Here is a 15,959-nt window from a genome sequence, read left to right on the forward strand (position 1 = left end):
CATCTCACTGTTGCCAGGACATTACCAACAGAAACATTTGGCAGATAGGGAATTAGGTTTTCTTCCCCCACCCCCGATCCTATAACTGGGAGAAAATAAGAGCCCTTCCCCCGAACATCTGTTTTATCAGCCAGATTCAAACCGTGCTGTCGCCACTTCCTCGCTCAACTGTGTACAGTTGGCCGGTCTGCATCCAAGGCCATGAGTTCAGGGTGGACATGTACTGTCAGGCTTCAGCAGGAATCACCTCCTGCCAGCTTCCTTTGGCAGGGTACACTGCTTATTCATGCAGAGGACCCCTCCTTATTTGCCAGGACAATCTATCCTGAAATCACCCTTTCAGCCACTGACTCCCCTCCGCAACCTGTCTTAGCAGGAGGCATCTTCAGGACAGCTTCCCAGGGATGGCCCTGGGAATCATGCTTAGCTGAATTCAGGATCCTGTTTTCTAGAAACTGACGTTTTAGAAACAGCTTCAGACATAGAAGGAGCTCAACAAACGTGAGTAAGTGGAACCAGGCAGACATGCCAAGCTTCGCGTTCTACGCTCGTAATATTTGCTCTTCCTCGATTCTCTCCTGGCTCCTCCTCATCCCTCTTCCCCATTTTTACTGCACACCTTTACTGAGTTAAAGTTCTAGAGGAAAAGTGGCTGCAACTAAGCCAAGACTCTATCAAAGGCCCTTGAGGGATACAGGCCAGGGACAGAGGATGCATTCTGCAGTTGATTTCCCGGCCAAACTCATCTGGGGTCATTTAAACTAACTCGTATACTATCTTCTTCTCCTCCTCTCTATCTCTTCAATTTCTATCTCAAGTCATACCTTCCCCAGATGGTTTCTGAATGAGTGTCTGGATGGTTTCTGATCTAAACAGAGTTTTTAAAAAAGGAATTGAAATTCTAACCCCGGAATAGCAAACAAGAGGCTGGCTTTTACCATTCAACAGAGAAAGCAAGTATGAGGCTTGCGCAGGAGAGAAAGCAGCACCGTGACACGACCAAAGTGCCCTTGAGTCCCTACAAGCTAGACAAGCCCGAGCCTCCCAGCCTCCATCTATTCAATGGAAGGGCATAACTGGTTTTAGTTTCTAGCTCCCAAATCGAGTCTCAGGTCAAGCAGTGGTAATGTGAATCCAAAAACTATTCTCAGTAGGTCTAAAAGCCTCTTTACTGCTCAGGCTAACTTAAGCACTCACAGTCCTTTGCTTTCTGTTGGAATTATATAAAGCCCGATAAAAATGACCCCAGGTTAACAGTTATTATATATCTCTACAGAAAAGGGGGGGCTTAATTATTACTTAAAAATGTAATTTGTTCGGTAAATAAGATTTTACAAAGCTTGAGGTAGGTCAGTAGAGATTGGTAACGTGGAGAGTCCTCAGTGGTTAGAAGCCACTGCTGGAAGTGGAAGATAAAATGTGTATTCCCAAAACATTTTCCCAGTCTTGCCCAATTACCATGAAAATGGGACATGATTCTAGCACCCTGATGACCTTCTGAGGTTAAACTAAACTGCTCTGTATTAGATGCCCCTCTGAGAGCTGGTCACATCATGTAATGAAGACTTTACTAGATAACTCAAGCCACTCTGGTTCCTCTTCCAGTTCTCCTTCTCCTGCACTGTTTTCTTCCCCACACCCACTTTATTAACTGTGTTCTTCTAACAAAATGCAGATAAGAATAACTACCAATGAATGACTGAAACCTGACTGTGGCTCAGTCATCAGTTAGGAAGTTGCCAGAAGGCAATGGGATTGTGGGACACAGGGGCTGACCACATGTCCCATGGATGAGCACTGGAGCCAGGGTAACATCATGGCCTCGCCTCCTCCAGCAATATCATGGCCTCGCCTCCTCCGACAAGGTCATTGCCCAACTGCAGAGAACCAGTAGGGTCTGGTTTATCGCCACTGTATTGTGCATGTTCAGGTTGCCGACATCTTTTCAAGCAGTGGGCCTGAGTGTTCCTTCCCACTGCCCTGGGGTATGATGGGGGTCCTAATTCCCAACACTTAAGGCCTATGCAAACAGCTGTTTCCTTGTTTTTTATGTTAGTTACTTTTTTAGAATGAGCTCTTCATAGACAAAGGCAAGGATGGTAAATCAGTTTATCTCTTGGGCTAATTCTGATCAGGTGTATGGATGCCTGGGGCACTGTGTGGAGGGTGCTGTGGGCAGCTATGCGCTAGATGGAAAATGGATTGGCTAGATCAGCTAGTAATGTCTGCTACAACCGCAGGACAGTGGAAGGATGCAGACTCTGTATTTGCTACCCTGGGCCTAGGATCTCAAAAGAGAGCTCAAGACACAACTTATTAAACTTCAGTATACACAAGGATCACCAGGAAATTGTGCTAAAATGTAGATTCTGATCCAGAAGGTCTAGAGATTCAGCATATCTGACAAGTTCCCAGAAGATACTGACTTGCTGCTAGACTACCAACCACACTTGGAGTGAAAGGGGCTAGAATGTTTCACCAGCCAGAATACTTTCCCCAGCTCCCTGAGAACATCATCACCACACAGAGCCCCTGCCAGGTGAAATCCAGCTGACGGGATGTCCTGAGACAGTAAATATGACTGTTTGCCAGTTGCACCACTAAAGGACACAGGGTCTGCTGCTGGGACAGTCTCCTGCTGATGAAGCTTCTCCACCCCTCGCCTTAGTGTCCCATCCCAAACCACACTCTTCCATTTAACCAGAGGTCCTCCTACCAACGAGTGAAATGGCAACCCCGGTCTAGAGGAAAGGGAGAGCATGGGAGGGCTGACAACGTCTCAGGGCAAAGTGGCTCGACAGCAGAAGAGTTAAGGGTCAGAAAGAGTCCCTCGGTTCCCACCTGCTCCTATCTTTCCCATGTCTAGGACATTCACGTAACCTTCAGAGTGACTTGGTATAAAAAGGTGGGCAAGGAGTAAGCTTTTATCTTCTCCCTTGCAGAGGATTAGAAGTGGTTCAGAGGCCTCCAGTCCTTGCAAATAGGATGGGATGCCTTTGTTCAAAGGCAGGGAAGGAAAGAGAGACTAAGGGGACCAAGTGCATTCTCACACTTAATGCGCTGTCCTGGGCTTACTGCTCCACGGGCCTGTGTCCTTCATTAGACAGCGACCACCTTGGAGGAACAACTACGTGTGAGCCATTCCTGAATTCTCAGTATCTAGCAAAATGCATGACTTAGAATAAAGACTCAATTGATGTTTGTAGATAAAGGGGAAAGAGTTTAAAACTTGGACACTATCCTATTCTGAAGAGCAGGTACTCCTGACATTTTGGCAGCTGAGCTGACTCTGAGCTCCTGGGGTGGGGGGAAATGAGACATTCTTCATACATATCAGACTCACCCATGGATCCCCTCTCCCTGGTGATGTGCAAACAACAGGGACAGGAGATCTGGACCATAAAGCTGTGAGCTCCGGGAGGCCTGCCTAGTTTGTGATTCAAGGTCATCTAGGGAAAGAACATATGTAACTGCTAATCTAATAAAGGATATTTAGATCAATCCTCAGCTTTTCTGCCTGCCTGTCAAATAAAATTAAGTATATGAGCACCTACTATGTGCAAGGTATTAACAATAGGATCGTGATTCTTCTTCCATATTAGACATGCACAAAAGAAAAAAATGAAAACAAAACAACGAATCAAGTCGTTTTATTTTGTGACATGGGGCTGATACAGACCTCAAAAGTACCCATAAGGCTGGAACCGGGCCCATTAAAATGCTCACAGTACTCAAGACATATTTTTTTAGAAGATAATTACTAACAATCTCTGAAGCTTCAGGTCCCCTTATATGCTACAAGAAAAGCCTTCGCGGGAACAGATCTGTTGCCATGACAACAATCACTTGGCTGCGCATAAAGAAGGGCGGGGAACCTACCAAATGGTATTCTCAACAGTCAGCCCTGGGATTTCTTAAAGCCACTTTCTAAAGAACCGTCAGCATCTAGGAGAATCTAAAAGCTGCATGAGACCTTAGGGGTAACCTAGTTTCACATGACACCAGAATTTCTTCTTTATCGTCCCTGCCAAATAGTCATCTGGACTCAGTTGAAACATCTCCAGGACCAGAGAACTTGCTCCCCTTCATGCCAGGAGGAAGATGGTAGGGAGCTTTCTTCAATCATCCCTGGAGTGAGGTGAACAGAGGTACAAGAAGGGAGGGAGTAATTACCTGAAGAACCTTCCCCTTTCCAAGCAGCAGGTTTAGGCTCTGGCAATGCCTGCCATGAGCTCAAGGAGCCCAAACGAAACAAAAAAATGCCTGGAAGGTAACTTCTCCCAGGTCTCCAATACAGAGCTAGTTTCCAATTCTAGCCATTCAATGCCACCTGGAAATCCATGGTTGTCACTGTTATGCTACATGGAAACAGCACCAAGGACCCTGGTGGTATTCCATGAACCATGTGGAAGGCTGCATGGGGAAACCCACAGCCAGGTGCCTTGTATCCACATGCTGTAGAAACAGTGCACGTGCCTGAGTACACATGTGCACAAACCCACCAGACAGACCCCCCCCCCCCAGCATGTGACTCAACAGTCACCTCTGTAGAGCATCACTAAAGATGGCTTCTCCCAGGGCCCTGCCCATCAATTATCTTTTGAGACAAATGCACATGGATTCTTAGGTAACTCACAGGGGAATATATTTGTATAGACCAAGATTGGGAGAAAGAGCCAGGGGTGAGCTGGGGGGATTGCTGGGTAAGTGACGTACATCACAAAAGTGGATACAAGCCCCACTGAAGGAGAAGTAAATACCTTGCCCATGTGTTGCTGCTACAAGGAGCGGCGTGACCTGTGGAGGAGACTTTCAGGCCCAGCCGACCTGAACACACGACCTCCAGCTGTCAGCTGGCATCCCCCCATTACAGTGAGGTTCCACCAAGACAGGTGCCTGGGATACTCTCCTACAGGCCTACTTCCATTCTGTCCATGCAGAACAGACCCTCGGCTCCCTTCAATTCACCACGTCCCTCAGCTCACCACCCACCTCAACACTTTACAGATGGCCTTTAGATACCATCGGCATCTTTCAGTAATCACTCCGGGCTGACACAGTGAGACCTGGGACCACCATCCTGAACAAGCTTAATGGCCCATTTCATATGAGAAAGAGAATCAGAAATATTAAAAGGAAATACCCTGTTTTTAAAACTCCAGTTTACTTAGTACCTTATCAGTAATGTCTACCATCCCAAAAGAAGACTGGAGAAATAAAACAGATTTGCATGACGTAAAATGATCTTGATCTCAGACACTCAAGCGTATTTGCACAGAAGCAGATTTGATGTGAAGATGGCACCTGTGAACAGGGACCTCCCCAGAACCAAAGCTTACCCCAGGGACAGCTCTGCTGCCTGTGGGGCTCACAGAACGCCAGAATGCAGCCCCTGGGCTTTTCTACCAAGGTTCCCAATCAGGAACCCAGCACTCATTTGGGGAAGAACCTAGCAAATAATCTTAATGGTACTTAATTAGCAAACTTTAAAGTTTCAGGCAGGAATTATCTGCTGCAGGAATTAGTATCGATTTGGTGAGCATCCTACAGGGGTGACATTGGACCACTCCCAACAGTTTCCCCCAGCAGTAACAACTGGGGAAAAAAGAAAGCACAAAGAGCAGCTCCTGACCACAAGGCAGAGGACAAAGAGTGGGGCAATGGCAGGAGCAGACACATCCTCATTACAGAAAAGAAGCCAGGGTCGTCCCCAGCTGTGGAACTGGCAGCCGCCATTTCCAGATGACTGCACATGCCCACAGGAAACGGCATAGGCAGGGTAGTCATTAGGAGAGAAGAGATTTGCATTCACATAACTGAGAAGACAAGCTTGCAGTCCCTGAGATGCTGGTTTATTTTAGGAGACAATTACCCAGTTGTTACAAAGCTGAAACTGACCTTTCAGGTAGAAATCTTGGCATCAGGGATCTTCTTGTCTTAAGCAGGAAAAACTGAGATTTTAAAGACCAAGTTTAAAATGTGTGTGTGTGTGTGTGTGTGTGTGTGTGTGTGTGTGTGTGTGTGTGTGTGTGTGTGTACGAGAGAGAAAGAGAGACAGAGAGAGAGAAACACAAAGAAACACAAGTGAACCTAACGGCAGGGACAGATTTCATCACCAGGCAATACTAGGTCACTAGATTAACACTGAATTGTATTCAGCCCACAAACAAACATTCGAAAGCAGATTAAGAACTGTTGTGTTGGAAAACGAGATTAAACAAATCCCATTTTCTTATTTTTTTTAGGTTCAAAAGACTGAAACCCATCAAGTGAATTAAGTAAATAGGACAACCACCATCCAGCCCCACTAAACAAGTGGACAAATTCCGTAGGCAGGCTATCCCTGCAAATTTCAGTTCTCAGAAAGCAGAGCACGGTGCTATGACAGGAAAAAAGGTCTCAGGGGCATTTCTGTGGCCCTAGAAGGATGGCCTATTTCCTGAAGGTATGCATCTATACCTAGGCTGTCTCTCAATACACTCAGCCGCCCGAGGACCATCTTACAGATGAGGAGCAAGACTCAGAGAGCAGAACAATTGGCTCAGGGCAACCCACCGAACAGGAGTATACCACAGAGGTTAAGATTCAGGGTTCTGGAGCTGGATATCCCTGGTCACTGTTCCAGCTCTCCCTCCAACCAATGGTATAACCTTGGGTGACATCTACTCTGAATCTTTGTTTCTTCATCCAACAGGAGCTGCTCCACAGTGTTATCAAGGATTGAATGAGATAATCCAAGTAGGATGCTGAGTGCCAGGCCCTGTGCACACGTAGTCAGATCATCATGCAATTAACACGCAAACCTACAGCTGTCTTATTCTAGACCTCTTCACTGCCTTTGTGTGCACAGCTTCATGCAACAAAAGACTCTCAGCTAAATCTGGTTTTGGATTTACTTCTCAACTCATTGCAAAATGTATTTGAGTTTCCTGTTTCATGTATCAACTCCTATGCAGAAATGTGTGTAACAATTGGGAGGAGAGTATCACTGCCTCCAAAGACAGCTACAGAAAGGTCCTTCAAGCCTATGGGGGCTGCTACGTACAGCTCCACAGGTAGCTGACTGCACAAGTCTAAGAGAATGCTATTTCCATAGACAATGAGTCATGGGCATCCTAAAGTCTGGTTTCTACCCCAGTCAAATCCAGAATGAGATCTGAGTGGAACTGAGTCATGGCACTGCCTGCTCTGCTGCCCCATCCCTTTCTTTCCTTTTGTTTTCCCTGTTGGTAAACTTCAAACTACATTAATTTGTTCTCAGCCACAGCAAGGTTTAAAAGTTAGGGATATGGTTGGGCACAGTGGCTGTCATCCTAGCACTTTGGGAGGCTGAGGCAGGAGGATGGTTTGAGCTCAGGAGTTCAAGACCAGCTTGGACAACACAGTGAGACCTCATTTCCACAAAACATTTTTAAGAACTAGCCAGGCTTGGTGGTCTGCATCTGTAGTCCCAGCTACTTGGGTGGCTGAGGTGGGAGGATGGTTTAAGCCCAATAGGCTGAGGCTGTAATGAGCCATGATCATGCCACTGCACTCCAGCCTGGGCGACAGAGCAAATACCTGCCTCAAAAAAAAAAAAAAAAAAAAAGGGTAGGAATATAGCAAGAGGTGGTAGCAAAGACATGGGTCCCGCCCCACACAGCTAGGGGAAAGAACAGGGGGATTACCTGCTACTGAAACCTTGCTCAATTGGAGGCCAGGAGCTAACACCAGGACTTGTCACATTTATAAAAACAATCACACATTAAATTCTCAGGAGGTTTTACTCATCTGAGAGTGAGGCCGCAATACCATTTCCCTCTCCTTTCTAAGGGATGGGTGTGTTTCTTTTCCCAATGTGGAGACAGGGGACACTCACCTTTGTCCTCATCATGGGCATGGAAAAACCATCTCTGATTTCCAAACCAGTGGCAGAGCCACCAGCAAAGGCCAACTTCACAAAGAGGCGCAGGATCCAGAAGACTATGCTTCAGCTGTTTTGGAAATGGGTATGTTTTTTCCCCAAAGAAACAATGTCATGAATGGTAGTTAAGTTCTCAGGCTGGCCTGCAAACTTAATCCATTATATACCCGCATCAGATGCTACTGAACCTGACCATGTCCCATAACAATGTTTCTATAGGAAAGAAGTACCCAATTTCAACCTGGGACATGGATTTTAGTGACAAGGGGAAAAGGGCAGGGGGAGGAAAGGAAGAGGCTCCTGCCTTTGAAAGAATGACATATTTTATGTGTTTACTAAATCATCCATACCTACCATGCACAGACTCTAGGATTAGTCAATAAAATAGTCCTTGCCCTAAAATAAACACAGGCGCAGTGGTACAAAATGACAGATAAACAGTACTGGATGACACAATGTGATAGGAGGAGATCAAGAAGGGCTTGTCTAAGCTGAGATGGAAGGAAGACAGTGTATGTTGGAGGTTCCAGAAGGCGGGAAGATGCAGCGTTCCAGATGAACAGAAGAGCACGTGCAAAAAAGGCCTGGCAGTACAAGAGAACAGTGCGTGCCTGGAGGGTCTCTAAGGAGTCCAGTGTGGCCAGAGTGCCAGGGATGTGGCATGGCAGTGAGAGGATTAGGTTAGAGCAAGAGAGGCAGGAGGAGGCCAGGCCTGGAAATGGCTTCAGGAAAGCCATGCTGGGGGGTAGGCAGAGCTCTCACCCCAAGGCAAATGGAGAGCGGTGGAAAGGATTAAAAGTTAGGGATGTGGCCACGAGGTGGAAGCAACCCAAATATCTGCTGGGGATGAACAGATAAACATATACATACAATGGATTATTCAGGCCTAAAAAAGGAAGGAAATCCTGACACAGGCTCCAACACTGGATGAGCTCTGAGGACATAATGCTAAGTGAAATAAGCCCGCCACAAAAGGACAGATACTGTGATTCCACTTCCACGAGGTGTCTAGCAGAATCACACTCACAGAAACAGAAAGGAGAATGGTGGTTATCAGGCACTGGGGGGAAGGGGGAAAATGCGAGTTGCTGAATGGGTTCAGAGCTTCAGTTTTGCAAGAGGAAAAAGTCCTGGAGATCTGTGGCACAACACTACAGAACTCTACACTTGAAAATGATTAAGACGGTATATGTTATATTATGCACACTCCACCACAACTAAAAATTAAAATTTTTTTAAAAACCAATGATCTCATTATAGCTTTGGTTTCTATTCTGGGGATGATTCTGGAGGGGAAACTGAGGCAAGAACAAGCAGTGCCTCCTTCCCTAACCAGATCAGCCTAGAACTACTGGTGGCCCTAGAACCAGCCGTTCAGGATCACAGGAGGAAGGGCTGAGGCCAGCACCCTTCTCCTGGTCAGTGCCCCAGACGCTATGGCTATTATGGCAGCCGGGCCCCATGGCCTTCGACCTTCAGGATTCTCCTGCTTCCTCCTCAGCATCACTCTTCCCTTTGCCACCATCAGTGGTGACACCAGCACAGATCCACACGGCTCTGGGCCACCTCCGCCTCCAACTGAACCAAGAGTGCAAGTTCATGATGCCAAATTCAGGGCACAGATAAACCAAACCAACACATTCAACATGAACATGCAAACGCTCTGCTGTGATGTCAGAAGAGGCCTAACATCCTACGCTTCAGCATGCAACAGACAAGATTCCACTGCAACAAACTGCAAAGGAGAGCCTATGTTTATTTGCACTGGATTTGCAGGGAAGCTGCTGGAAGTAAGACCCTTGACCCAGGCATCTTCTCATGAGGTTTTTGTCATTGCTGCGGCTGTTGTTAAGTGTGCCTGTTTCAGGCAGTAAAAAAAAAAAAAAAAAAAAAAAATCAGCTTTATTACTTGAGCTCAGCCCACCAATATGCTTCAGTATGTTCCGACATCCTGCCCATGGCTAGATTATGTGACCCAACCCCCATATGTCAGTGCTGGGCAGAGGAAAAATAAAAGCAAACAAGACTGTCCCTGCTGTCAGTCCAGGTCTCACCAGAGAGTGAGACACATAAGCAGACGGAAACGGATAGTTCCCAGGTATTAGAGTAGAGGAACACAAAACATAGGAGAGAAAGGGATCCTTTGGACTCCCCCACATTCTTCAGCAACTTCCCTGTCTGATTCTGCAGTGATTTCTGTTGCTACAACTTAGAACCTAGACTGACAGTATCAGGGACAGAACTAAGCCCTTCTCAATTCACTCCTTGAGCAACGAGGCACTCACTTGTTGAAATCTTCAGATTATGAGACTGACGTGCTACCTACTGCGCTAAGGAGGCAACTGAGTTGCTGAAATCTTGATTGCTTTTTCATTTCAAATTTGAACCTTTCATTTCAAGTTTACAAAAATAGGGATCGATTAACAATCAGATTAACTGGCATTTCATCTAGAGACTAGCAATTCACCTGAACTTTGGCCTGCCACAAATCCCACTGTTTTTCTCATTAGGATTACATAAGTGGTAAACCAACAGATGGAAATGCTGTCCATAAGTGGTAAACCAACAGATGGAAATGCTGTCTGGTCAGAGAACGAGGGCAGTGTCTACCGCTACCACACATGAGTGTGTCAGACTTCGAGTCCATGCCTAATGTTTTTTCCAGAATCATTCCCAGAATACCAGCGGCAAGAAAAATGATTTTCAGGCAGGCGGGGCAACTCTTTCTTTGCTGTTCTGTGAAGGAAACCAGGAGCTGCCCCTAAGGGGCAGGGTCTCACCACTTGCTTCCATTTCTAGGAGATCAAGGACCCACCAGAGAGCCCGCTGGGTCCCAGGGGGCTCCCATTCAGACCGCGAGCAGACGTGGTGGCCCAAAGGCCTCTGACTCCTTTAACCCATTTATCCTAATTTTCCTGGTCAATTACAAAGAGCCTGGAATTCAGTTCTTTCATTTCTTATGAGAGAACCATGAGAGCTGGGAAGGTTCTTAAAAATCATCTTGCACTTCAAAGAGAGATCTCACCTAAACCAGAGATTTTCAAGAGAATAATTTTTTATACGGCAGCAACCCCCTATTTTAATTTGGGATGTTTCACAGGGCGAGAGGGGTGCAGGGGATCTCCACAGATTGCCATTCTCCAGCCCCACCACAAGCCCCTGGGCACCCTCTGCGAGCTCACCTACCTGATCATGCCACTCAAAATCAGAGTGGACCTGGAGCTCAGTGACCTCAGAGATCCAAGAAAGTCACTTGGCAAAATTTACCACCATGTTTTATACTCCTCGCTTGAAGTAGTAACCTGGTGCTAAGCAACGTCTAGACTTTATTTCTAAAATCCCTGACAACTCTATGTGGCAGGCATGAATATTCCCATCATAGAAGAGGAAAATGAGACACAAAGGCTATAGCACTTCCAAGAGGTGGCCTGGCACATTAGCCCTCATTACGCCCTGACTCTATTTTTGGGAGATGAATTATTTACGTGGGTTATGCAGGTTTTCTGTCTTGGGTAAAGTATCATGTAAGAGTACTCACCCCTTCTAAATGGACTGCTACCTAAATACTTCCTATAATAACATTCTCAAGATGCCTTTGAACAGAGAGGGTAAGGAACCTGCCTGGGGTCACACAGCTAACATGCAAGGGATCTGGATTTCAAATGAGGTCATGTGCCTCCAAAGCCCATACACCAGACTCCTCAGCCTTTATAACCTAAATCTCTTAGGCTGCTGCTGCCCAGGCCTGTCTACTTCAAAGTCCCAGACCTCAGTGGAAGGCAAACAGGCAGCCACCCTCTACATACCAATTTTTCCCAAGCAAATGGACAAGTACCCAAAACAAACTTTTCTGTTTCACAACATTTCTGGCCTTCATTCATGCCAAGAGTAAGCAACTGTTGCATCGTTCCACATGATCACAAGACAGATTCCCAAAGATGACTTCAACAGGGCAGGGTCTGTGTACCAATTTTTTCATTTTTAATCTGCAGTTGACAAAACTAATACTTGGGCAGCTGGCAGAGTAGACTCGGTGAACATGCTGCTGAAACCACACTTGCTCTTTATGACCTGGGACCAGGTTGAAGGACAGCAACTAGGAACAGGAGCTCAGAGTCATTCTTTCCAATCCAAAGGAGACACCAAGTATGAGGTTTCCTGCATTTGCCTTCACACTGGCTCTGCAATGACTCTGGTAGCTGGCAGCTCTCCATAATGTAGCTGTCTGCTCATCCACAGTACAACAAACACCAGACCAGAAGAGGGGCTTTTCCCAGATACTTGGAAAAAAGGAGAAGAAAACAAATACAAAAAGCAGGTTCCAAGGAACACAGGAAAACAGATGCAAAGCAATCTTAGATTCAGTAACTTTTGCACATCCTCAGTGTCATTTTACACTAACACAACAGTGTCATGGCTGGAAGATCTAAGGAGCTAGTGCTTTGCTCCAAATGATTTGGACAGATGTTTACTAAGTTTGCCTTTCTAAAATTTTCTTGTACGTGGTTAACGGCAGGTGATTAATATTCATGCAAGGAGGTTTTCACCAGAATTTCATGGAGTTGACATCTATTAAAGTTAACAGACAAAAAGGCAGAACTGTAAGTGTTCTTTTAAACTGGCATCTGAGAGTCTTTGCAGGAAACAAGATCATCACAACCTGCCAACACACGCACTTCAGGTGACAGGCGTCCCGGCAGCTCCCAAATGCTCTGTTCTTGCTCCTGCTTACCTCCCAGCTTCTGTACACACCGTTCAGCTGCTTACCTCCCAGCTTCTGTACACTCCACTGCTGGGATGGTGCCCTTCTCACAGGATTCTGTGCACCTCTAAGACCTCGCCTGGGTATCACCTAGACTGAGCAGCATTTCCCATGCTCTGCCTCCAAGGGACCCGCCTCTCTGCCTAAACCAGACCCCTGTGCCCCGTCACACCCGTCCTGCCATTGTCTCTTTACTTTTTGTCTCCTCTGCCAAGACTAAGCTTCTTGCAGGTGGGGCTCCCCTCTCTTGCACGGTGCATGGCACAGAGCAGCACTCAAAAAATACCGCTGAATGACGTTAAAGAGGAAAGGAACAAATCACTGTGAAATTTGGGAGGGAGGAGGTGTCATTAAAGCCAATGGGAACACAAATGAACCTGCACAAAATAGATCTGGTTAATCTTTTCAGACTTTTTTTTTTAAAGGTTTTCTGCAATCACTAGCTGGCTGGATGTAAGCATCATGGAATTCAGACTCCTGGCACCAGAAGGGCTTCTAGGTCATGTGGCCCAACAGCTCCATAATGCAGGAAACATGTGTCTGCTTTATGATGAGTCCAACACATTGCTGACGCTCTGTCGTCCTGGCAGATGCGGTTCCCTTTAGGGCCATCAGCGGCAGGCCTGGTTTTCAGCCAGGCAATAACAGTACAAAAATTACAGCACAACTGTTTTTCTTTTCTTTTCTTTTCTTTTCTTTTCTTTTTGAAGACAGAGTTTTGCTCTTCTTGGCCGGGCTGGAGTGCAATGGCGCGATCTTGGCTCACTGCAACCTCCGCCTCCCGGGTTCAAAGCCTACCTCAGCCTCCTGAGTTGCTGAGATTACAGGCATGCGCCACCATGCCTGGCTAATTTTTTATTTTTAGTAGAGATGGGGTTTCTCCATATTGGTCAGGCTGGTCTCAGAACTCCCAGCCTCAGGTGACCCGCCCGCCTCAGCCTCTCAAAGTGCTGGGATTACAGGAATGAGCCACTGCGCCCAGCCAGCACAACTGTTTTTCTATCCACTGCTTTAACTTTCTCCTGTTCATCATCTTCAACAGATGCAAAGAAAGTTAGCAGTTGGGGCTTCATACCCAAACTTGGGCATTTTTGTCTGTGGGAAAATGCTACACTAAAATCTTCTAAGAGAAATAGCTTTTGCTCCTCTCTAGAAAATCCAAGGTATTTGTGGAGGGCATCGGACTGGCTCTACAACTCCCAAGGGTGTCTAGCAAGGTCACGGCATGCATTGGACACTCCAAATATTTCACAGTTGATCTTTTACCAACATAAACCCTGTGTCAGCCACATGTCTTCACGTCCACAGGCCTTAATTCCTTCCTCCTGAAATTCCCATCAAATGGTACAAGCAGCAGCACAGGCTGGAGTCACCTAAAAAGCTAATTAAGTACACCGATTTTATTGCTAGAATACTCAAGTCAGGACCTGACCACAGGCTGAGCACAGATGTTAGTGGCAGGAATGGCTATCTTGTTAACATAGTAATAACACTGAGAAGAGGAAGAAAAAACCATGAGGATTTTAAAACATCTTTTCATCTTCCTGCATAAAAAATTAAATTAAAAAGAAGAACAATGGAATTTCAACGCCTCACTGAGCTCTGATAGAGCGAATGAAACAGTATCGTGAATGGCTGGACAGGGAATACAGTTTCTTGCATTAAACAGGATCGCCTAGTTCAGAGGTCATCCGCACCCACATTCCAGCCCCTTCCTGGTATCCCTCTGGGGAATCAAGACCAGGGAAGGCCAGAAAAGAAGAAGCATAGCTCCTATGATCCCCTGGAATCCCTCCACTGATAAAGGCAACTTCCAATGACTCCTCTTCCTTCCCACGCATCCCACTCTTCCCCTTTCCTCCACCCAAACCCACAAAGGAAAGAAAACAATGACAATACTGCGATCGCCATGACTCTGACCTTTAAATGTTGAACCAGAGATCTATTAAGGGCCAGATAAAAAAGCAGGTGATTAGTTTTCAACATGAGTCACAATATCCCTGCAGTGAAATAATTCAATTAAATATTTAATGGTCTTAGGTTTTGTTTGAGGCACTGTTAATGACAGTCTCATTAGCCCCAGCCATGGTCTCAGAAGTGAAGTGGAAGGGGCCAGCTCCCCAGGAGGGAGAGGCACTTGGTGGGGGCAGTCTTCCTTAAACAGGGACTGGAAAGCCAGGCCCATGGGCAGAAGGGGTGTCTGCCAGGGGGGCATCAGTACCGTCATTCCAATCATATAGAAGCACCAGGCTTGATGTGATGGAAGGGTTCCTATCACTTTCTGTTTGTGTGTTTTTTTTTGAGACGGCGTCTCGCCCTGTCGCCCAGGCTACAGTGCAGTGGCGCCATCTCGGCTCACTGCAACCTCCACCTCCCGGGTTCAAGTGATTCTCCTGCCTCAGCCTCCCGAGTAAGTAGCTGGGATTACAGGTGCACGCCACCACACCTAGCTAGTTTTTGTATTTTTAGTAGAGATGGGGTTTCACCACGTTGGCCAGGCTGGTCTTGAACTCCTGACCTCAAGTGATCTGCCCACCTCAGCCTCCCAAGGTGCTGGGATTACAGGCGTGATCCACCACGCCCAGCCCCTATCTCTTTCCCCAGAGAAATCCTTACTAACCCTTAGAGAGTCAGAAAGATTCAACCAGAAAGTGGGTTCTGGGCACTTGAACCATCCGTTTCAGGTTTGGGTTTGGTTTACTTTCTCTCAGTGATGCACCAGCACGAGGTGGCTTCACTCTCTCAGTTAAGAACCTCCCTGATGAATGAGTAAGGAAAGTGTGAGAGACAGAAAGAGAAAGAGAGAGAGAGAGAGAGAGAGAGAGAGAGAGAGAGAATATGAATATATTTTTCAGCCTTAAAAAAGACAGAGATCCTGCCTTCTGCCACAATTCGGATGAACCTGGAGGACGTTATGCTAAGTGAAAGAAACCAGACACAGAAAGACAAACACTGCATGACCTTGCTTGTATGTGATCTTACTTATAGGTGGAATATATTTTTTTAAGTAGAAGACATAGAAAATAAAACAGTGGTTACCAAGGAGCAGGGGTGGGGGAGGTGAAGGAGGAAACGGGAGATGTAGGTGAAAGGACGCAGAGAGGCAGATATGCAAGATGCATCGCCCAGAGACCTAATGTGCATGAGGACTCCTAGTCAACAACATTGAATTATACCGGGGATTTCTGCTAAGACAGTAGATTTTAGGAGCTCTTGCCATATTGAAAAAAAAAAAAAAAAAAAAGGTAAATGACTGGGTGCAGTGGCTCATTCCCATAATCCCAGCACTCTTGG

At 46.3% G+C, this 15,959-nt stretch overlaps 1 protein-coding gene and 1 long non-coding RNA gene across 36 annotated transcripts in view, besides 2 other annotated features; one reads left to right on the forward strand and one right to left on the reverse strand.

The window, feature by feature from the left end:
- MTSS1 (MTSS I-BAR domain containing 1) overlaps window positions 1-15,959 on the reverse strand; it is a 177,690-nt gene that overhangs the window by 55,813 nt on the left and 105,918 nt on the right. Inside the window, exon 1 of one of the 34 annotated variants that reach the window (XM_047422488.1) lies at window positions 12,671-15,888. The exons of the other annotated variants lie outside the window; for them this stretch is intronic. The gene's annotated coding sequence lies outside the window, so the exon portion shown is untranslated. Of the gene's footprint in view, window positions 1-12,670; window positions 15,889-15,959 lie in introns of those variants that run through there. 34 annotated transcript variants of the gene reach the window in all.
- LOC124902016 (uncharacterized) lies at window positions 141-9,149 on the forward strand. Of its 2 annotated transcripts, none has more exons than XR_007061087.1 (2): window positions 141-505; window positions 6,246-9,149. It is a non-coding gene; the product is annotated as an uncharacterized LOC124902016 (long non-coding RNA). The 2 variants fall into 2 exon arrangements; XR_007061088.1 differs by having other exon boundaries at window positions 141-501.
- Window positions 737-1,086: an enhancer, noted in NCBI's record as "active region_27889". NCBI's record gives its function as "activates an Ori minimal core promoter by ATAC-STARR-seq in GM12878 lymphoblastoid cells {active_cell/tissue: GM12878}" and the evidence as "EXISTENCE:reporter gene assay evidence [ECO:0000049][PMID:35858748]".
- Window positions 13,912-15,111: an enhancer, noted in NCBI's record as "CDK7 strongly-dependent group 2 enhancer chr8:125632749-125633948 (GRCh37/hg19 assembly coordinates)". NCBI's record gives its function as "activates an origin of replication core promoter dependent on BRD2, BRD4, P300/CBP, MED14 and CDK7 cofactors, with strong dependence on CDK7, by STARR-seq in HCT116 cells {active_cell/tissue: HCT116}" and the evidence as "EXISTENCE:reporter gene assay evidence [ECO:0000049][PMID:35650434]".

This window comes from Homo sapiens, chromosome 8 (genome assembly GCF_000001405.40).
Source record: "Homo sapiens chromosome 8, GRCh38.p14 Primary Assembly".
Classification (NCBI taxonomy): domain Eukaryota; kingdom Metazoa; phylum Chordata; class Mammalia; order Primates; family Hominidae; genus Homo; species Homo sapiens.